A 23,742-nucleotide genomic window follows, 5' to 3' on the forward strand; every position below is an offset into this window, starting at 1 on the left:
TCCCAGACTATCAGTTACTTCTTGGATGTCTCCTGTTTATAACCCATTTGAATTTACTGGCACATTTGCCCCATAGAAAAATTTCTCATAACCTTAGTGATTTTTTTTAAATGAAAGTTCATGAAAAATATTTTTGGAACTAATTATTGCTGCATTCTTATGTCCTATTCTTTTCTTATATTACAATCTAACTTCAACCAGAAGTTGATGTTTCCAGAGAAATACCTGTCATCAAAGCCAGCAGTAACCATTTTTTTTTTTTTTTTTTTTGAGATGGAGTCTCACTCTGGTGCCCAGGATGGAGTGCAGTGGCACAATCTCAGCTCACTACCAGCTCTGCCTCCCGGGTTCATGCCATTCTCCTGCCTCAGCCTCCTGAGTAGCTGGGACTACAGGTGCCCGCCACCATGCCTGGCTAATTTTTTGTATTTTTTGTAGAGATGGGGTTTCACTGTGTTAGCCAGGATGGTCTCGATCTTCTGACCTCGTGATCCGCCCGCCTCAGCCTCCCAAAGTGCTGGGATTACAGGCGTGAGCCACCACGCCCGGCCAGCAGTAACCATTTTTAACAGAACTACCTTAAATTGTGTTATATTATGACTTACTTCTCCAAAATCTATCCACTGTGATTTCTATGATCCCACACAATCCCAGCTTTTCTTTCATGTCTCTAATGTTTTTCATCCTCTTCCCCTTATTTTATTTTTAATGAACCTGACTTTTAAATGTTGGTGTTTCTCAGAGATCCATCTTTGGCTAACTTCTCACTCATTCCAATCTAAGTCCATAGCAATGGGGACCATGAAAGGAAGAGCTGAAAATCCAGAACAGTGTCAAGGCAGAGGGCTTCCTGCAGGAGACAGCAACTAGATGTCTATGCAGAAAACACTGTGCTCTTCATTGCATTAGGAAACTTCTCTTGCCTTTTTGTTTCTTTCAATTATGACCGATGGTGTGCTTAACTAATTCCTTCCCACTGTCATTATTTCTTGCTTCTGATGATATCATCTTGAACTCACCTTGACTATAAGCAGACTTCAAATTATATTAGTATTTGGAATCTGTTCCTTGTAAGAGTAAGCAATGTAGGATGGTCAAAAGGTACAGCCTCATCCCTTCCATTCGTGTATACTGTTCAGTTAATAGAGAATTTAGTCATAGTGTCTAATTTGAAGAGCAATGAAAACTAAAAACTTTCAGGAAGAATCATTTTCTAAGTGAGCACTGGACTAATGGACTCACATATTTGGCAGATTATGAAAAGGACATTGAGGAATTACTGCTCTATTACTTCATATTCTGCAGTCTAAGCGCTCTAAGTTGCTGAGGGTCGGATAAGTTCCTACATCTTATCCACTTCTCATTCATTGTAAATGAGCTTCTTTAAGCATTTTGTATGTTCAAGAAGTTTACTGGAAGAAAGCAGAGAAACCAGCAGGGGAGGCAAGAATTGTGATAATATCGAATTATTATTTGATGTAATACAGTAAAGGGTTTTCTGGCACCTCCAGAATTGTTGTGTACGTCTCAGAATTGTAAGCCTTTTCTCTACATTAAAAATAAGTTTCTCATTAATCTGCAGCTTCCTTCCTGTTCTTGGTCCAAACATTTCCCTAAAACATTACCAAATGGTAGCTCTTAATTTCCTCTAACTAAACATAACAAATGTATTATATCACACCTACCTACATAGGCAAACATTTAACCACATTTTCTAAGGTTAATTGACAGGTACCATTCTTCCAATTTGAGGTAGGTCCCTGCCATGTGAGCCATGGAAAGTGGCTCTCATCACCCCTCCTTTTTTCAGCAACCATATGCTCTTATTTATCCAATTCTCTCTGACTTATCAACAATCTATTTTTCTCTCTACCAAATAGTTCATACCAACCTCCAAAGATGCATTATTTTTCCCGATTTTAAAACAAGAAATGCTTTTTAAAATTTAATTTTTATTTTTGATGTATATTTTCATTTTTAATTGACTAATATATATAAGGGATGCAATGTGATATTGTGATATATGTATACTTTGTGGAATGATTATATCAGTCTAATTAACATAACTATCACCTCATAAAGTTATTTTTTTTGCAGTAAGAACATTTTACATTTATTCTTTCGCAATTTTGAAACATACCATATATTACTATTGACTGTGGTCACCACGTTGTACAATAGTTCTTGAAAATTTACTCTTCCTGTCTAACTGAACCTTTATACACTTTGGTCAACATCTCCGCATCCCCCAGTTCCCCACCTTTTATCCTTTTCAGCATCTGGTAACCACCATTCTACTTTCTACTACAAATTACTCTAAACCCCAACTTCCAACTCTAAACTTCCAACTTCTGCCCTACATTTTCTTGTTTGTACAAACTTCTTTAAAATGTTATGTGCATAAATTTTTCTATTTCCTAGCCTTTAACTTACTCTTTAGCCCACTCCAATATGACTTTTTCTTATGCACTCCAAAAATAGACAGTTCTTTTCAAAAAGTCATTTGTAACCTCCAAGAGACTGAATCCATCAATATTACTTTAAACTATGTTTCATTAGATCTGTCAGTACAGTAAAATTATGAATCAATTTCTTTGCCTTCTTCTTTAAAAATCAATCTGTCTTTTCCTATATAGGTTATTTTCGGTCTCTTTTTCTTTCTCAACATTTACCTAGACATCATGATGAGTTTCTAGAAACTACATGCTAGACCACCTTCTTTCTGTCACTATCCTCACTTGCTAAAACATCTATTTGTGCTAATAGCATTAATTCAAATATTCCAGTAATTTCCAAATAAAATACTAGTCACTCCAGTTTTTCTCAAATTGTTCCTTTGCTCTCTGGAACTACTTTTTCCTCTCTTTGCTAAATAATAATCTCTTGGATGCTTCAAAGGTAGGCACCTCATATTGGTCATGACCTCATTTGAACTCATTCTCTTCCCTTATAATCTGGTTCTTCTCCAGTCATCCTTAGGTACATGAATGACATATTCCATTCCAGTGCATGTATGAGAAACTTAGAGTTATTTTGGGGTCATAAATATTATAAAATTTACATCCAGTATAACTTCTATATCCATCCATTTCTCTATATCTTCATAGCTTAAAATAAAGCTGTCTCACCCTTGAAGTACTGTTGTCAGTGCTCATCCAACTTACTTATATTTATTCTTGCCATGTACAATCTGGTCTTCACATTGCTGCCATGCCTAAATTATCCTAAACCTTTTCAGTGGCTCCATATTGCTTTAGCATAAATTTGCTTAAAATTATCTGACCACTATGACCTCAACAGCACCATCTCACATCACCTCCCATGTTCCACCACACCTTGAGGTTTCCAGACACATTGTTGTCACCTTGAGGTTACCTTGTTGTTACACTGAGATTACCAGACACATTGTTGTAACACTCTGTTGTTACCTTGACTATGCCTTGATCCCTCTCATTTTAACATTCAAAGATTCCTGGATAAAAAGTCTTTTTTATCCCCACCCCAACACACACACCATAGTTATCTTCTACTCAAACAATTGCCCTCAGAACAAACATTTTTTCAGGATATCCTCTCTGACAACAAGAGATTATTTTTTTCTTCATGTGAACTCTTATCACTTGGTACTTTTGCTTTAAAGCACTAATCCCAGTCTATTATTATATATTTGCTTGATTTTGTTGTTATTATTCTCTCCCCCCACCTCAACTAGACCACAATTTCAATGAGAACAGGAACGATGACTGTTCTATTGATCACTTTATGCCTAACATGTTTTTCAAACACAGACAGAACTAAATATGTATTTTTGAATGAAAGCTTTCTCCTTTAAAAATGTTTAAATAAATCTCCTAGCCACAGAATTTAGAACACCCAGAGTTTGTGTGCTTAAAAACCATTCAAACACTCTAAAATTTCTCACCTTTATAGGTCCATTTTGATTTAATAAATGAAGATATTCTTCTATTCATGTAAATTCTTAGGTTACATTAATAGGATACATGTTTTTGAGTTAATCTGCTTTCTATTCTAGTGGGATTTAACATCCTAGGAATTCAGCTTTCTCTATAGGTCTTTCATCATGTCTGCAAATGAGATCTATTATGCTTAGGTCACTGAGCTGCTTTACTACTCTCCATAAATTTCAGAAGTTTATAATTTCTGTGCCACATCTTAGCTGACAACACATTTTTATCTTGTGTTAAAGCATCTTTCTCATAAAGTTCTGTCTTTGCCCAGTAGAAAACTTCTGCCACGCCTAGGATCCCAGACTGTGAGTCTGTGTTCATAAGCAAGGTAAGTGATAAAATCTTCTCATGGTCACTTTGGCTAAATTCCAGAGAGTTCAATGGCTTATCCTAAACATTATGTTGTTTTGTCAACATTCTGCAAAAAGATTGACATTTCTCTCTGTTTTAGTAGCATATAGAGGATTAGAGGGCCTTTCCAAAAAAGGTTGAAGTCAGAATTAGAAAATATTAAGGCTCACATGGTGCACTAGAAGTTACCTTGTCTGTAATCAAAAAACAACACTGCCAGATTATCTTCAGGGTTAATATATTAACTGTTTTATATAGCAGAATCGTATTCTATGTCATGCTAGAATATAATTGTAAAAAAAATTAAAAACAATTCTTTTTCTGTGAGCTCAAACATACTACTTCTCTTAATTGTATCACACATATACAAATCAGAAAAAAATTTTAATAGAGAAAACATCAAAGATAAAATGTTATGTGATATTAGGATGTAAAGTAATAAATGAGTATTAAGTAAAAATGCCAGGCCTTGTACATCAAATGGGTTACATACTTCCACGCATCCAGGATAAAACTATTGTGTTGAACCCCTTCAGAATTCTCCTCTAAAAGCTCAAAGTCAAACTAGCTTTACCTCCATTATTGCTTGTGCTCTTTAGTCATTGAAATTTTCTGTAGATACATTTAGATAATTTTACTCTTTATCAAATTACATTCACCATTAAAGAAGGATGATTTACTCCATCATTTGGGAGTATATGTTTATTCAAACATACAGGCAGTAAGAAACCTCTGAAAGGAAATACATTTAGTTTTTAATAAGAATTGATACAACAAAAGAATTTTATTTTCTTCCAGATTTTTTTGGTATTTAACAATAATTATATCAAAAATCAACCCATAACTAATATATTAAAAATAACATTTTAACCTTTGAACATAGCTTTCCAGTTTTTGTTTCTTGCTCATAAACCTGCAATAGCTTCCACCATGGCAAAAATATTGGAAATAAAATGCCTTGAAAAATTACTAATTTTAGCATAGAGTAAGTATTATATGTATCTGCAGTGTAAAATACAAAGAAGTTCAAAGCAAGAGATTATATTCACTTCGGTTTGAGTCATATCTGAGAGTGTTTTATGCAAAATAAAGGATTGTAATAGTAAATAAATAATAAATGGTAAATAAATAAAGGATTGTAATAATAAAGTATTGTATTTGAAAGAAAATGTGAAACCATGAATTATTTTAAGCAAAGGAATACCAGTGTCTGAAAGATCAGATTGCTAGCAGAAAGAAAGAATTATGGAAAATCAGAAACATTTGCTCCAGGCAGGTTGCAGAAAGCATACTGAAAAAAAAGAGTGCATATGAATGAAGTAAAGAAAAGAAATCAACAATATGATAAGCAATTATTTGCAGTAAGGGAAGGTTAGTTTTCTAGATTCAAGCTTGTCTGGTCGAGCCACCATGCAGAATAAAAAGTAAATGGATAACAACAAAGTTGTAGAAAAGATAATGAGTCTAATTTTAACCATGATTTTTGAGCATTGAATGGCAATTCCTTCAACATTATGGACAAATAATTCTTGTTTGTTAAATAAGTTAAAATTACTGTTCAATGGTTAGAAGGTTTTAGTTGTACAAGATGAATAAGTTCTAGAGACCAGCTGTACAACATTGTGCCTGTATTCACTAAAAAATGAATAGAGTTGATCTAATATTGTGTTGTTATCACAGGAATCTTTAAAAGCTTCTTATTAGTTTTACCTAAATCCTGTATTTATGTCTTTATAGGTTCTCTAAGATTCAACTATAAAAAAACTTACTAAGGTATGTCTTCATTATATGACTTCTCATATGGAGAAATTCAGCCATAATCACTAACTTCCTTTTAAGCTACTCTTTTGCAACCTCCTCAGAAGTGCATACAAAATAGAACATGAAAGAAAACTATCCCCAAATCCTCAATATAATTTATTTCTGGAAACCTTTACAAGTCCATGATATCAAAATTTTGAAAGGCTATGTAAGACGTTAATGGACATCTATATCAACTTGAAATGATGTAGCTATAAATTTCATCTCCCATAATTCTTCATTTAAAAAATCTAGTTATTATTAGTTAATAAACCTCTGCATCAAGTCAAGTAACACTGAGATAAATATGAAGAAAACAAGCACATCCATTTAATCTATATAATTTCTAAAGAGATGAAGAAAGGCTTAGAAAAATACTACAATTTTATTTCTGTGGTGGTTCCAACCTGTGATAACTGAGAACAATACAAATAGAGATTTGAAATTCATGTTGAATCATGAATCATATGTCTGCATCTCTCAAAATCTCCAATAGCTCCAAATTCCAGGTCTCTGAGTTCATCCTGCTGGGATTCCCGGGCATTCACAGCTGGCAACACTGGCTATCTCTGCCCCTGGCACTACTGTATCTCTCAGCACTTGCTGCAAACACCCTCATCCTCATCATCATCTGGCAGAACCCTTCTTTACAGCAGCCCATGTATATTTTCCTTGGCATCCTCTGTATGGTAGACATGGGTCTGGCCACTACTATCATCCCTAAGATCCTGGCCATCTTCTGGTTTGATGCCAAGGTTATTAGCCTCCCTGAGTGCTTTGCTCAGATTTATGCCATTCACTTCTTTGTGGGCATGGAGTCTGGTATCCTACTCTGCATGGCTTTTGATAGATATGTGGCTATTTGTCACCCTCTTCGCTATCCATCAATTGTCACCAGTTCCTTAATCTTAAAAGCTACCCTGTTCATGGTGCTGAGAAATGGCTTATTTGTCACTCCAGTGCCTGTGCTTGCAGCACAGCGTGATTATTGCTCCAAGAATGAAATTGAACACTGCCTGTGCTCTAACCTTGGGGTCACAAGCCTGGCTTGTGATGACAGGAGGCCAAACAGCATTTGCCAGTTGGTTCTGGCATGGCTTGGAATGGGGAGTGATCTAAGTCTTATTATACTGTCATATATTTTGATTCTGTACTCTGTACTTAGACTGAACTCAGCTGAAGCTGCAGCCAAGGCCCTGAGCACTTGTAGTTCACATCTCACCCTCATCCTTTTCTTTTACACTATTGTTGTAGTGATTTCAGTGACTCATCTGACAGAGATGAAGGCTACTTTGATTCCAGTTCTACTTAATGTGTTGCACAACATCATCCCCCCTTCCCTCAACCCTACAGTTTATGCACTTCAGACCAAAGAACTTAGGGCAGCCTTCCAAAAGGTGCTGTTTGCCCTTACAAAAGAAATAAGATCTTAGAGACCTTCTCCATGATGTACATGAACCTCAGCTTCTCCTAAACTGGATAGTAAAATTTCAAAGAGGATAAATGAGTAAGTGAATACCTTTGGGATTCCCTTTTTATATTTGTATGTAAATAATTGTGAAAGCTTCAGAAAAGATACAAAAAATCACAGTAGCCTAAAATATTGACAAAAGCTAAATATTTAAATATATTTGAGAATATGGAAGAAATTTCTGCCAAATCAAATTGGATTTAAAGAACTTAATGATTGATATCTATCTCTTAAAATAAAAATGAATATAATCACACACCCACAAATACACACACAGACACACATACATTCAATCAGACAAATGAGTGATTGGGACATGAATCACAGGTCATGCTTGCGCATTGTTAGCTGTAACTTGGGAGCTGTAACTTGGGAGCAAAGTCAGTCTGCCTAAACAAGCATTACTCCAGTAATATGAAATACAGAGGTCGGAAAAGAAAATAATTCAGATAAAGCCAAATCAGTCAATGATGAGGATTTATGTGGAATATGAGATGACTCAGCTTGGACAGACAGAACCCAAAAGATTCATCTAGCTAGAAGGATCTGGTGCTTACGCCGTTTGCCTCCCCAGATTTGCTGTCTGCCCTTTGTGCACTGCTCTGTAAACTGGAGGGCTGACTTTCACATATTGTAAGCCCAAACTCCTTTGTCTTTCGGTGTTCAGTTGAATTGAGCCAATGTGATGCGTGACAGATTATAGTTCAAGAGGAGACAGCATTTGGGCTATTTATTATTCTACTCCCAGCCTGCTTTGACATGAGGGTTTTCACTGGATATGTCCCTTCTCTGGCCACCCACCTGCTACAGCTACAGCTTTTATGGAAATATAGTAACAGGCTTGTCTTGCCTTCTTTCTTCAGGCCAAGGGGCTGATAAAGGCTTCCTGATAGTAGTCTCTGAGTGCCCAGCATCCATTATTTTTTAATATCCACTTGTTTTCTTAAACAACCTACTACTCAATACCAACTTCATTAAATTGTCTTCAAACTCACATTTCTTTGTGCCTTTTTTTTTTCCCTTTCTGAGACCCTGACTGACTCACTGGCTTTATTTATATCACCAGCATCTATCTCTACCATAGCTACTCATCCACTACTACTACCACACCCACATAAGAATGTAGGCAGCTTCAGCAAAATCTTCAGATGATCAGATATAAAGACACTGCAGGCAGGAGGTCGATATAGAAATTTTTCCCTGTGAAATTTTTACTTTGAGAGTTTTCTTTTCTTTCTTTTTTTTTTAAATAGTCCTAAACAATGAATGGGCAAAATAAGGCTTAATCTATTATTGTCTTGTATTTCAATCTTTTCCAGGCTACTTTCCATTAAACACATGCTCAGATTAATGCCATTAAATAGCTAGGACATTCCTTGAAATATGAGTATTAATTTTGGGTGCAGGAATACCAGTTGCTAGAAAGTCTGTTATACATTATATAATGTCAACTCCTCTTCCAGTTAGATTTCAAAAGTAAACCCTATCAGTTTTCAGGTAAAATGAAAATAATATAATGTATCTTTCTTATTAGTCTGGCCTTTCACACAAACTTCAATTTTTTTCATTTAAAAATTAATGAAGAGAAAAGACTCCATGCCCTTTGTATTCATAAGACTACTTTTTTTTTTTTACTAACAATATAGTTGAGAACATTAAGATAATTTAAGAAAATTTATGTTTGACATTTTCTATAAAGTTACAAGAAGATAGTGTTCATATTAAATAAGAATCATCAGCTGGGCACAGTGGCTTACACTTGTAATCCTAGCACTTTGGGAGGCCAAAGTAGGAGGATCACTTGAGGCCAGGAGTTTGAGACCAGCCTGGGCAACATAGTGAGAACCTATCTCTATAAAAAATACAAATAAATAAAAATAAAATTAGGCAGGCATGGTGGCTCATGCTGATAGTCCCAGATACTCGGGAGGCTGAGGTGGGAGGACTGCCTGATCCCAGGAATTTGAGGCTGCAGTGAGCTGTGATCACACCATTGCACTCCAACCTAGGTGAAAGAGTGAGACTCTGACTCAAAAAAAAAAAAAAAAAAAACCATGATAAGTGGGCAGTTCAATGAAATTAAATGAGATGATATGTTATTCCAGCAGGAATAACTTACATATTACAGCCTAGAAAAATTAAAAAATTTAAAAATGTGTGTGCACCTTTCACACGTCCCTTCAAGGGAACCTGATATAAGTAGCATTGTTGACTGACATCCTCTGGCTTCTACACCATTAGATGCATCTGCACCTTCACACAAAGCTCATGCTTCCCTTGGCTGCTCCCAGACAGTGACCAGACACAGTAAGAGGACGAGAGCTAGGCCATTCTGGCCAGAAATGAAACTCCTTTAATGGTCAACTTTTGCATGAGGACTCTGAACTGGCCCGGCTAAGACTTTCTCAGAGCTGCACTGAGGGCTGATACTTTTCTTAGGCAATCTTTCCTTCTCTTTCTCTTTTCTTGGTTGTCAGAGCTGCATCATGGTTTAAAGATTCTCTTAATCTTTTCCTCCCTTCTTATCCTTTACATTTCACATTTTCCCCCCAATAAACCTATCTGATGACTAGTCCTATCTAGTTGTCTGCTTTGTAGAGGACTAAACCCAACACAGATCATAATAGGAGTGAAATCATACAATACGGGACACATTTAATCCCCTAGTACAAGGAATTGACTCAATTGTTGAAAATTTTACCAATCGTAATGTGACAAAACACCCTTGTGGAGGGAAATGCCCTGGCTGGTTCAACTCTTTAAGGCATTTGAAAGGTATGTGGAGGGGTGGACAATGGCAGGAAAGATAGTGGAGTCGACTGATTACTGCTGTGCTATATGGAAACCACGTAGAGTAATAATGACAAAATGAAGGCAGTTAACAAATAGTAAAAATGAAGTGTGATAGATTGCAAAGCTTGTAAAGATGCTCTTATCTCCTGAAGTAAAAAGGGTAACAACAGCGGGGGAGTACACTTGGGCATGAAATTTGAGTCTCAGCTGGGTGCAGTGGCTCATGCCTCTAATCTTAGTATTCTGGGAGGTTGAGGAAGGGAGGTCTCTTGAGCCCAGGATTGAGACCAGCCTGGGCAGTGAGGGAAACCCCGTCTCTACAAAAAATACAAAAATTAGCCAGGTGTGGTGGCGCGTGCCTATAGTTCCAGCTACTCAGGAGGCTGAGGTGGGAGAATCGCTTGAGCATGGGAGGTGGAGCTTGCAGTGAGCCAAGATAGTGCCACTGCACTCCAGCCTAGTGGAGCGTACAGTAAGCCAAGATGGAACCACTGTACTAAAAGAAAGAAATAAAAGGAAAGAAAAGAAGAAAAAGAAAATTGCATCTCAGAACTCCATGACTGTTTAATGCTTAACAAGACAGAACTATTATACCAAGGTGTGCACTCTGGTTGAGAAAATCTGGGGCAATGAAACATGGGATGTGGATATCTGAAAGGATGACCTTGAAGATGTATTTTGCAAACTAGCTCACTCCTTTATTTATAACATGAGAGCTAACACTCTCATGCAGGAAGATAATAAAGAAGTTTATGCAGGAAGATAATAAAGGAGTTTATGCAGGAAGATAATAAAGAAGTTTCTCTCATACAAGACTATGGTTACTGCCCTCTCTACATTGTCAGGCTGGTAACTAAGGTTAAGTTCCAGTATGATTACAGCATGAACAAGCTGCAAGAATCCAGGGGATTGAAAATTAAGGGAGCTTAATCAAGAGGATAAGATCTTAAGACATAAGAACATAGAGAATAAGCAATAATTTTTTGACTTGGGAAAATTATTGTGGACACTGTATTGAACACCCTGGTCAGAATTCCTGGAGATGGGTCAGACTCACTGTGACAGTGACTCTTAGAAGCCTGGAGAATGTGATGGACGATGATGAGTCAAGTGGTAATGCCTGAGTTGCCCTGGCAGTTGGGCATTGCATTGCACTTGGGCAATGCAAAGATGAAGCAGCTGGGGATGCTGAAATCGACATATTATATGAGGCCAAAAGAGTCACCAGAAAAGTATGTTCTATGGAACGCCCCAGAAAACACAACATTCACCAATGAATGCACAAATGAGTGGGGGCACCAGTATTACTAAAATGTTCAGCTATGGCTCTCCTTTTCAGAGCAGGTGTGAGGATAGGAGAGACAGTCAAAGAGCTGGATTGTCTAGTAGTTGTGGGGGTGATAGACCTTTGAAGTAACAGATAGCAAGTTGAGGCAAATAACTGCCAGAAGCCAGGGGACAGCAATTACTTAAAAACCAGCAAGGGTAAACTAGCTGCCAAAGAGGCTTCACCTGTAGGGAGTTATGGAAATGGTGTCCTTAAGAGCAAATTAATAGGCAGCCAACAAGGGTGACGCCTAACATCTGCAATCACAAGAAAGCAGGAATGGAGGAGCTGAAAAACAGGTAGATGATATTTTAAAAAATAAAGAATTTCTGAAACCAAAAATTCACTGAAGGAATTACAAAATACAGTTGAAAGCTTTAAATGAGACCAAGCAGAATAGTACATTTCAGAGACTGAAGTCGGGTTTTTAAATTAACCTAGAAGAAAGCAAGCAAACAAGAACGAAAGAGAGAGAAAGAAAGAAAAGAAAGAGAGGAAGAAAGAAAAACAGAAAAAAGGAAGGAAGGAAGGAAAATTTAAAAAATGAACAAAGCCTTTGAGAAACATAGGTTTATGTAAAATGATAAAACCTCTGAGGTATAGGCATTCCTAGGGAGAAGAGAAATAAATAAAAAGTTTGGAAAACTTATTTGAGGAAATAATTAGGAAAATTTCTCTAGTCTTGCTAGAGGTGTAGATATCCAGACACAAGAAACTCAGAGAACACCTGAAAAATACTTTGCAAGATGAACATCACCAAGGCATATAGGCATCAGACTATCTAAAGCCAATATGAAGGAAAAGATCCTGAAAGCAGCAAAAGAGGCACATCAAAACACCTATAAAATAAACCTCGTCAGAGTAACAAAGTACTCCTCAACAGAAATCTTACAAGCCAGAAGGGACTGGGGTCCTATTTTTAGTCTTCTTTAACAAAAGTACTACCAGCTAAAAAACTACCAGCTAAAAATTTTGTGTTCTGCTAAATTGAGCTTTGTAAATGAAGGAGAAATAAGTCTTTCCCAGATAAGCAAACACTAAGGAAATGTGTCACCACTCTACTGGCCCTACAAGAAGTTCACAAAGGAGTTCTAAACAAGAAAATAAAAGGGTGATACTTGCGACAATAAAAAAACAAGTGAAAGTAAAAAACTCATAGATCTTCTAAAGCAACCACAAAAATGGAACTACAAAGCAATTAGGTAACAATGAACATCATGACAAGAACAAAATCTCATGTATTAATATTAAGCTTGAACAGGAATGTACTAAATGCTCCACTTAAAACATATAAACTGAGAAAATGGATTAAAAACAATATTCAAACATGTGCTGCCTATTAAAATGCACCCAATGAGCACAGACATTCACAGGCTCAAAGCAAAAAGGTATAAAAAGATGTTTCACACAAATGGAAAACAATAGCAAGCAGGAGTAGTTAGCTATACTTATATAAGCCAGACTTTATATAAACAACAGTGAAATAAGACAAAGAAAGACATTGTGCAATGTTAATCAATTCAAGAATACAATGTGACAATTCTGAACATATATGCATCCAACATCAGAGCAACCAGTTTCACAAAACAAATACTATTGGACCTAAGTAAAGTGGTAGAAACAATACAATAACAGGAGGGGACTACAATACACCAGTGACCACCCTAGACAGATCACTGTGGCAAAAAAATCAACCAAAAAAACCTTCTGAACTTAAATTGCCCTCTAGATTAAATGCTAAACAGACATATACAGAACATTCTGCCCAAGAACCACAGAACATACATTTCTGTATATTTCTGTTGGCACATGAAACAGTCTCAAAAATTGCTCAAATGCTAGGCCAGTCTCTATAAACTTAAAAACTGAAATAATATCAAGCATATTCTTACACCACAGTGGATTAAACTAAAAATTAATACCAAAAGGAAGTCTCAAAAATATACAAATACTTGGAAATCAAACAACCTGCTTCTGAATAATCTTTGGATACACAACAAAATCAAGGCAGAAATTTTTTAAACATTGAAACACATGAAATAGAGACACAATATACTAAATCATTTGGGAAATGGCAAAAGCTGTTTTAAGTGGGAAGTCTATAGCATTAAATGCCGACATTAAAAATATAGAAAGATTTTAATTTAAAACTCTAACATTGTACCTCAAGGAACCAGACAAATAAGAACAACTAAAACCCAAAGCTAGGATAAGAAAATAAAGAACAAATATCAGAGAAGAGATAAATGAAATTGAGACAGAAAAATACAAAGATAAAGAAAATGGAAAGTTGGTTCTTTGAAAAGATAAACAAAATTGATAGACCACAGCAAGATTAATGAAGGAAAAAGAAAATTTGAACAAACAAAATCAGAAACAATAAAAGTGATATGACAAATGATGCCACAGAAATATAAAAGATTATTAGAGACTATAATGAACCTCTCTGAGGGTACAAACTAGCAAGCCTAAAAAAGACGGATAAATTCTGGTTAACATACAACCTCCTAAGATTCAATCAAGAAAAAGTAGAAATACTGACCAGACCAATAACAAGTAGTGCAACTGAATCTTCTAACAAAAAATGCCTAGGACCAGAGGCATTCACAATCAAATTCTACCAGACATATAAAGAAGATTTAGTCATAATCATACTGACACTGTTTCAAAAAATTGAAGAGGAGGGAATCCTCCCTAACTGGTTCTATGATGCTTGTTTCACCCTGATTCCAAAGCCGGGTAAGGACGCAACAAAAAAGAAAATTACAGGCCAATCTTCCTGATGAGAATTGATACAAAAATCTTCAGCGAAATACTACAAGACAATCCAACAGGACATTAAAAAGATAATGCACCACAATCAAGTGGGTCATATTCCAGTGGTGCAAAGGTAGTTCAACAAATGCAAAAGTGGTTCAACAAATGCATGCCCATATGCCCCTGAGGCCTAACATATGGGCATAACACAATTAAAAACAAAAGGCTGGGTGTGGTGGCTCACGCCTGTAATCCCAGCACTCTGGGAGGCTGAGGCGGGTGAATTACCTGAGGTCAGGAGTTCGAGACCAGCCTGGCCACCATGGCGAAACCCTGTCTCTACTAAAAATACAAAAATTAGCTGGGCATGGTGGCGCATGCCTGTAATCCCAGCTACTAGGGGAGCTGAGAGAGGAGGATTGGAGGATCTCTTGAACCTGGGAGGCAGAAGTTGCAGTGAGCCAAGATTGTGCCACTGCACTCCAGCCTGCACAACAGAGTGAGACTCCATCTCAAAAACAAACAAACAAACAAAAAACATATAATCATTTTAATACATGTGGAAAAAGCTTTTGACAAAACTCATCATCTCTTCATGATAAAAACTGTTAACAAACTAGGCACTGAGGGAACATACTTAAAAAATAGTAAAAGCCATATACATCAAACCAACAGTCAACATCATATTGAATGGGCAAAAGTTGAAATCATTTCTCCCAGCAACTGGAACAAGCCAAAGATGCCCATGTTCACCACTCCTATTCAACATGATATTGGAAGCTCTCTCTAGAGCAATCAAGGAAAAGAAATAAATAAAAGGCATCCAAATTTAACAAGAGAAAGTCAAACTATCTCTATTTGCTGATGATATGATCTTATATGTAGAAAACCCTAAAGACTCATCCAAAAGACTCCTAGACTTGAAAAGTGACATCGGTAGCATTTCAGGATATAAAATCAAAGTACAAAGATCAGTAGCATTGTTATACACTAATAACAATCAAGCAGAGAACAAAATCAAGAACTCAATTTCATTAACAATAACTAGAAAAAAATATACAATACCTAGGAATACATGTAACTATGCTGGTGAAAGATCTCTACAAGGAGAACTATGATACACTGATGAAAGTAATTTTAGATGACGCAAATATGAAAAATCACCTCATGCTCATGAATTGGAAGAATCAATATTGTTATAATGACCATACTACCCAAAGCAATCTACACAGTCAATGTGATCCCTATCAAATTACCAATATCATTTTTCACAGAATTAGAATAAGCAATTCTAAAATTCACATGGAACCAAAAAAGAGCCAAATAATCAAAGCAATCTTAAGTAAAAAGAAAAAAATCTGGAAGCATCACATTACCTGACTTCAACTACAATGCTATAGTAACCAAAACAGCATGGTATCAGGTAACATCACATTACTTGACTTCAACTACAATGCTATAGTAACCAAAACAGCATAGTAACCAAAATGCATGGTAACAACATTTTCTTTTTTGGTGTGTCCTTACCCAGCTTTGGTATAAATAAAGACACATAGATCAGTAAAACAGAATAGAGTATTCAGAAATGAAGCCACATACTTATGACCAACTGATCTTCGACAAAGTCACTAAAATAAACACTGGGGAAAGGTCACACTATTCAATAAATGGTGCTGAACAATTGGATAGCTGTAGGTAGAAGAATGAGCCTGAACCTCTATCTCTCATTATATGCCAAAACTAATTTAAGATAGGTTAAAGACTTAATCATAAGATCTAAAACTATAAATATCCTAGAAGAAAACCTAGGAAAAATTCTTCTGGAGATTTAGGCAAAGAATTTACGAGTAAGTTGTTGAAAGGAAATGCAATCAAAACAAAAATAGATGAATGAGGCATAATTAAACTAAAAAGCTTCTGCAAAGCAAAAGAAACAATCAAGAGAGTAAGCTGACAACCTACAGAATGGGAGAAAATATTGGCAAAGTATGCATCTAACAAAGGAGTAAATCCATCATCTACAAGGAACTCAAGCAACTCAACAAGAACACAAATAACACCATTCCAAAGTGGGCAAAGGACACAAACATATGTATATGCTCTTTCTTTTCAAAAGAAAATATACAAGTGGCCAAGAAACATATGCAAAAATACTGAATATTGCTTATCATCAGAGAAATGCAAATTAAAACCACAATGAGATATTGTCTTACACCAGTCAGAATATCTGTGATTAAAATGTGTATAAACAACAGATTTTGTCATGGAGAAAACTTATATACTGTGAGCGGGAATGTAAATTAGGAAACCTTTATGGAAAACAGTATGGAGATTTTTCAAATAAATAAAATTAGAACCACAGTTTGAACCATTAGAACCACCAGCAATTGCACTACTCTGTATTTACCATAAGGGAAATGAATCATTACATAAAAAAGATATCTGCATTTGTATGATTATCTCAGCACTATTCATAATAGCAAAGATAGCGAATCAGACTAAATGTACATCAATGGATGACAGGATAAAGAAAATGTGAGATAGGCTGGGCACAGTGGCTCATGCCTATAATGCCAGCACTTTGGGAGGCCAAGATGGGCGGATCACTTGAAACCAGGAGTTGGAGACCAGCCTGGTCAACATGGTGAAACCTGTCTGTAGTAAAAATACCAAAAAAAAAAAAAAAAAAAAAAAAAAAATATGGGGTATGGTGGTGCTAAGCCTGTAGTCCCAGCTATTGGGGAAGCTGAGTTAGTGGTGAGAGAGAGGATTTGAAATACATTGGTCAAAGGTAACAAAATTAGTTCCAGCTATTTGGAATTCCGAGGGGAAGGAATCGCTTGTGACCAGGACTTCAAGGCCAACCAGCCTTTGCAAAATAGACAGACCTCCTATCTAAAAAAATAAATAAAATAAAATAAAACAAAAATGCAGTTATATAGGAGGAATAAGTTCAAGAAATTTATTGTACAGCATCATATCTACAGGTCATAGAAATGTAGTGTATTCTTGGGCAATAAGGGAGATTTCAAATGTCCTCACCACAAAAATGACAATTGAGTTAACATATATGTTAATTAGTTTGATTTAGCCTTTCCACAATGTATGTGTATATATATGTATATATATATTATATTTCAAAACATCGTGTTGTACATGATAAACATCTACAATTTATACAACAATTAAAAAAGGAACACAAAAAATCGGTAAACCTAATAAATGAGGCATTTCTTGTGAATATATACTGAGCCTATACCCCAGTCATAGACAATATTTATTCTTCTCAATCACGTGTAAAACATTAAACCAATCCAGATCTTATTCTTGTTAATGAGATCACTCAATACCATCAACAAGTTCTGTAAAGAAAAATAAAGGAAAATACTACAAGTAACTACTGTCACAATGCATTAAAACCAATAATATAAAATTTTTAAATACAGTGTACTTACTAAGGTAGCATAGTTAAATGACAATTAGACAACTGTATCTTATCAACTTGGCACATAACTATTGTCATGAATAAATGGGGACCCTAATACATAATAAAAATCTATTTTGAGGAAAATATCAGGTAAGAAATGTCACAGCAATTTCATACCCATGTTCATTTATCATATTTTTCTTTTGAAAGGATCTACATACATAAGATCAAGCTGTTACATAAATCACACACATCTAACATGAACTTTTAATCAGCTATAGTAATTCTGTTTTGAAATGGACTAGTTTTATAATGTTAAATTAAAATTGTAATATTTATGCTATAATGCAACATGATGATTTTTGTTAAAACATATATAGTTAATGCATAGCAATACATATATAGGATTTTAATTAAGGTAAATCTATACCATAACTTCAAGTGTTAGAACTATGAGTGCTTTTTAATTTCCTTATAAATACCGTTATGTTTTTTCAAGTTAGCATATGTTATTATTTTTATTTTCATAAAATGGATATAATTTATAATCAGTTATTTTTAGCAATAATAATTATTTTTAATTATTGTATCATAATGATGATTATTTCAAGGTTTGTATATTCCTCTAATTTTTCCTAATTTAATATATAAGTGTAATAAGTTTAAACTTTTGATTACATTTTAGAACACCCAACTATTCATAATTCATTTCTCTCACTTGAAAAAGTAAAAATTTTATTAAAAAAATAAACTTTTTGAACCAGGGGCCATATTTGCATAGTTCCCAGCCTGCTGTGGAAAGCAGAAAGTTCTAAATAAACGTTAATTGAAAGAAGTAAAATGATACATTAATATAAAAAAATTTTAAAAATGGATTAGTTTATGAATGAACAAAACATTCTCTACTTCTGTGCTTTTGATATCTTTCCCATAGGGTAGTGGAGAAGAAGAAAACATTAATCTGCAGTAAGTATTAAATCCTAGTCTTTACTAAAATAACTTGTGTTCATTTTCATTCTCTCCCTGACTCATATATACACTCTAATACACAAACACACACATATGGGATTATTTGCTTATATACGTATCATTATTTGGACACTGAGAATGGAAAGTTCTTGTTCTTTCTCCTCTTCCCATAGAGGTTATCTTGATTCTCACACCAACATCTGTGTCTCTGAGATTCTTAAATATCCCCTTGGGACACATAACATGTATTTTTTTTAAGGCTCAGTTCAATAGTTCAGACATAAAGGAATTTATAGGCTGATAGCTGTGGATACATATATTAATTCTAGGATTGTGAATTTTTTTTGACCAAGATTGTTAACACCTGGAGTAGATTGCGTTTACAGATCACTGTTCTGCTATCCAGAAACGAAGGTACTAAAAATATGCAAAAGAGGGGATAGTGACAAAATTTATTTTCTGTAGTCAGCAAGATAAAGTGAAGAGGAGCTTTGGGTATATCTCAGTTGTTTATCATTTATCCAGCTAAGTCATTGATTCCAATCACATAGTTGGAAGGAAGAAGCATTGTGTGAGGTTGAGTTCTTTTGGAAAACATTTATTTTCCCAAATCAAGCATTAAAATTCAGTGTGAATTATAATGATTATGATTATCTGTGTATTTCTCTGTTTAAATGGGAATCCTTTTTTACTAGTGGTGGAAGTCAAGTGTGGATTACCCCCACAATAAGGAGAAATGAAAGACTAGCTAGAGAATATTTACCCATTACTCTTGCTTCTTACTTGCTCTCCTTTACTTCCCCCAAACCATAGTCTAATTTTCCTTGGTTATTTCCTGGAAAGACTGAGATAGGACTTTTGTTTCATGTGTTTGCAGTAGCAAAATCTAATCCACACGGAGCAAGCAACCCTCATATGAGAAGTTGGGTCTACTAGATTGGAGATGGTTGAACGAAAACAAAACAAAACAAAACAAATTTATTGGCCTACAGAGTTTAAGAATGAGGTTAGATAGAAGATAACATGTATCAATATTACTTTTCCAATGACTCTTTCCACACCCCAGCATAGCAAAGTCAAATTTCTTTGCAGAAGAAATTAAACTTTGATGTGTACAAACTATTTTAAATGTTTTAGGAAGAAAATTGCATACGTTTGTACTTATTAATAATACTTAGATAGTTATGTAGTTCTTGGAGAGCTTTGTAAATGTGTTGAAGATGGGACCTAAATTGTTGTGTAAGCATAAAACCAGTTTTAGTGACTAAAGGTATGCCGAAAACAAGAAAATATAGGAAATACTAATAAAATATTTATCTAGTATTTAGATACAAGTGTGCATGTAATCTCAGAAGCAAATTATTCTATTTTCGGTTTAGGAGATATTTATGCTTCCCCTAATTTCTCTACCTACTTCTAACACATGGATACTTATTTCACATGCAGTGGAACCATGAACACATACTTGGATATGTGCAGGTTCAATACAGATCTACAAGTATATTTTTCTCCACCCAGGTAATTGTTCTTTCCACACATAATTCATTAAGACATTAAAAATAGCATTTTCCATTACTTGAAATGGTCACTTTAACTCCAAGAAAAGCTGCAAAAGTGCATCCTGAGCTGCTATTTACAAAGCAATGTATAGCCCAAAACAAGCACTGAGCATCACATTTAATAAGACACTGTTCAATATATTAAAGTGAGATGGAGAAAAGAATCGTGACACTATTGAATAGTTTATACTAAATTTTTATAAATTATTGAAAAAGTAGTTTTATAAATGGATTATTGCCACTGTCACTGTCAGTTATTTTGCTTAATAATATATTGTAAAACATCTGAAAAATGAGGTATATGTAAAAAATCTGAAAAATATAATAGTGACTACAAATATAAAATATAAATTCATAGTTTATAAATTCTGTCTGAAAGGCAGAATCCTGTAATTTTGATGTTCATAGAAAAACATTTCATGTATTGAAGACTATCTTTTATGCTTTTACAAAATAATAATTAACATACTTCTGAAAATTCCAAAGCTAAAATTTCAATTTTTGAACCATTCACTTACCTTAATTAAAAATTTAAAAATGAGTTTATAAGCTGCTATGTAATGTAAGTGTAACTTTGGGAGGTCCTCATATTAACATTGTCCCTCCATATCAACAAAGTGAGAATGTGAATTTAAGTGCTTTTCGTTATTTGTGTTATAGAAAAACCTTATCAAACTTGGAAAAAAAACAATTTGGTACAATTACCTTTAATTACACAATGCTAAGCGTTTTGTCTTCTCAAAGTGATCTTGACTTGAGTGTTTTAGCTTTGAATTCTTTTTTCTAGTATTAGTATATCCTAAGTATGAGGTATACTGTTTATCTAAAAATATTATGTTTGTATATATTTTTAAACCTTTGTGTATAATTTTCATTCTGATGAAATCTTATACTGCATATATAATTTTTAAAAATTAGTTGGAATTATTTCAACTTGATGGGAAGTTTAAATTATTTTTATATCCAAAACCAATGTTTGTTCTGCCTTTGTCATCTTTTTTTTTCCACTTTGTATTCTCTGTTTCTCTACTTTATGAGAGAGATGCCTTATGTTGTTTAGCTTTTCTAGTAATCTTAAGTAAAACTTTCTCTTTTTTTTCCTTCTAGTGGTTTCTTTTATACATTCCAAGTAATATTAGGTTGGTGCAAAAGGAATTGTGGCTTTGCCATTACTTTTAATGGTAAAAACCGCAATTATGTTTGCACCAATCTAATAATACTTAGATTATAATTTAATAATTATCAAAATAAAGTGTTTCGGGTGAGTCATTCACTTTTTCATTTACTTATTTGTTTATTTATTTTAAAATTGACATTTATTGAGTATCTAATATGAGAGATTTGATTTGCTCGGCTCTGAGGATGCTTTACCAGACACTGTCCTTACATCGGTGATTTCACTGAATTTTGGAGAATTCCTAAATATAAGTTGATTTTCATAATATCATGAGGGAAATATTATTAAAGAGAATAATTGTTTGAACAAATCAATTTCTTACCCCTAGTCAAGGCTATTGGTAGCTACATTATCTTAAAATAATTTAAAGGATGGGTCGCTATCATGTCCAAAGGACATTTGAGACCTCCTGATGATGGTTCTGCTTGAAGAATGTATAGGGATTAGCTACATTTGAGGGGAGTGGGCAAAGGGAGCACCAAGGAGATAGAGGTTTGCCTATCACAAAGCTGAGAATGTCAGTGCGATATGAGTAGGAAACAGCAAACAGCAACAGAAGAAAATGCTGTTCCTACCACTTTGACCTGTCAGAATTCTAATCATGCTCCAGGTCTGGAAGCATCTGTCCTCTTCTCTAGGAGCATCTCCTGAGGCTAGGTTAGACACACAGGTGCTCCTATGACACCCAGTATAACTCTGACATTTTGTAATGACTTGAGTACATATCTTTGAGGAGCATGCCTATTAACAAGTTTAACCTGTGTTTTTCTACTATTTTCAAAACAAGTTGCCTTTTGATAAATCTGATCTGTCCTCTTCATCTTACCCAATAAGGCAGAACATGTGACTGTACTTCCTATCAGATGCTAATCTTAAAACAGTGTATTTTATTAATGGAGGTTAGGATGAATACCTCCTCTGATGGGGCACAAAAGAGAGTTCATTTGGTGGCACTCATGATTCCTATGGTGTTAATTTTTGTAAGCATTGCCAAAATGGCTGCCAGCCTGAGTAGAAAATACAAATATGGGTATTGAGCACTTAAAATGTGGTAGCATGTTTTAACATATTACGTCCTTTAATCCTCTTGGCAATTTAATTTTTGTTATTATAAATTCTAACATACATATGCAATTTTACAATTAATCCAATTACATGTTGATTGATTTTTACAACCTGAATCTTGTATATCTCACAACCAAATCAAGTAAGGGAATATGACCAGCAACTAACAGGACCCTTCTACCACATACTGCCTTTCAGTTATCACTCTCTCTCACTTTTTAAAAAGATTTTTCTATTTCTAATAGCACAGAATAATTTGATCCGTTTTTGTATTTCATTTAAAGATCACAAGATGTTACATCTATTTTAAGTCTTTCTAAAAAAAATTAACACATATTGTGAGATTCGTCTATATTATGCATATAGTCATAGATTGTTTATTCTTATTGTTACGTGGTATTTCATTGTGGGAATGTACCAAAATTTATTTACCCATTTGATGTTGATGAACATTTAGGTTTTTTCCAGTTTTAGGCTATACTACAAATCATGTTTCAATAAGCATTCTAATTGATGTATTCTAGTAAATATATATACATAGTTTTGTTGGAAATGGCAATGGTGGTCATGTGTATGTTTATCATTATGAGATATCTAATAAAGAGTTGTTCTAATTTACATGTCTACCAGCAGTAAATGAGAGTTCCAGTTGTTCTACATCTTTGCCAATGCTTGGTATTTTTAGTTCTTTTCATTTTAGCTGTCCTGTTTGGTATGTCACTACATACCAAAAAAAGGTGCTTTGTCATGAGAGATACAATTTTTACTTATTTTTCTGATTAATATAAAAGTTTGTGCCTATTTACCTGTTCATTGGCAATTTTATTTCTCTTTTGAAGTGTATGTTTCTTCCTGCAACTTTTTCTTACTGATGTTGTTGAAGTACTTTATATATTTTCTGTATGTATGCATTTGGATATCTTCTAGTTTGCGTTGACTAGATACATAAAGAACAAGAAAGATATCTTGAAAAGTGAAAAAATTGAATCAAAACTTCATTGACTTTTTTAATTTTAAATTTTTGTGGGCACATAGTAGGTGTATATATTTATGGGTGTATGAGATATTTTGATAGAAG

General features: G+C 34.6%; 2 protein-coding genes across 3 annotated transcripts in view, besides 1 other annotated feature; both read left to right on the plus strand.

Moving 5' to 3' along the window:
• Window positions 1-23,742, plus strand: part of OR52N4 (olfactory receptor family 52 subfamily N member 4) — a 29,487-nt gene that overhangs the window by 3,468 nt on the left and 2,277 nt on the right. The window contains exons 2-4 of one of the 2 annotated variants that reach the window (XM_017017711.3): window positions 4,243-4,296; window positions 6,057-6,092; window positions 18,829-18,860. The gene's annotated coding sequence lies outside the window, so the exon portion shown is untranslated. The remainder of the gene's footprint in view (window positions 1-4,242; window positions 4,297-6,056; window positions 6,093-18,828; window positions 18,861-23,742) is intronic. The other variant, XM_017017713.3, reaches the window with a different exon arrangement.
• Window positions 4,226-4,426: a silencer, noted in NCBI's record as "peak1182 fragment used in MPRA reporter construct". NCBI's record gives its function as "represses an SCP1 promoter by STARR-seq MPRAs in K562 erythroleukemia cells {active_cell/tissue: K562}" and the evidence as "EXISTENCE:reporter gene assay evidence [ECO:0000049][PMID:32103011]".
• Window positions 6,509-8,584, plus strand: OR56B1 (olfactory receptor family 56 subfamily B member 1). Its single transcript, NM_001005180.3, has one exon. It carries the CDS (start codon window positions 6,578-6,580, stop codon window positions 7,550-7,552), a length of 975 nt encoding a protein of 324 aa, NP_001005180.1. The 5' UTR covers window positions 6,509-6,577; the 3' UTR covers window positions 7,553-8,584.

Source organism: Homo sapiens, chromosome 11, assembly GCF_000001405.40.
Source record: "Homo sapiens chromosome 11, GRCh38.p14 Primary Assembly".
Taxonomy (NCBI): Eukaryota; Metazoa; Chordata; class Mammalia; order Primates; family Hominidae; genus Homo; species Homo sapiens.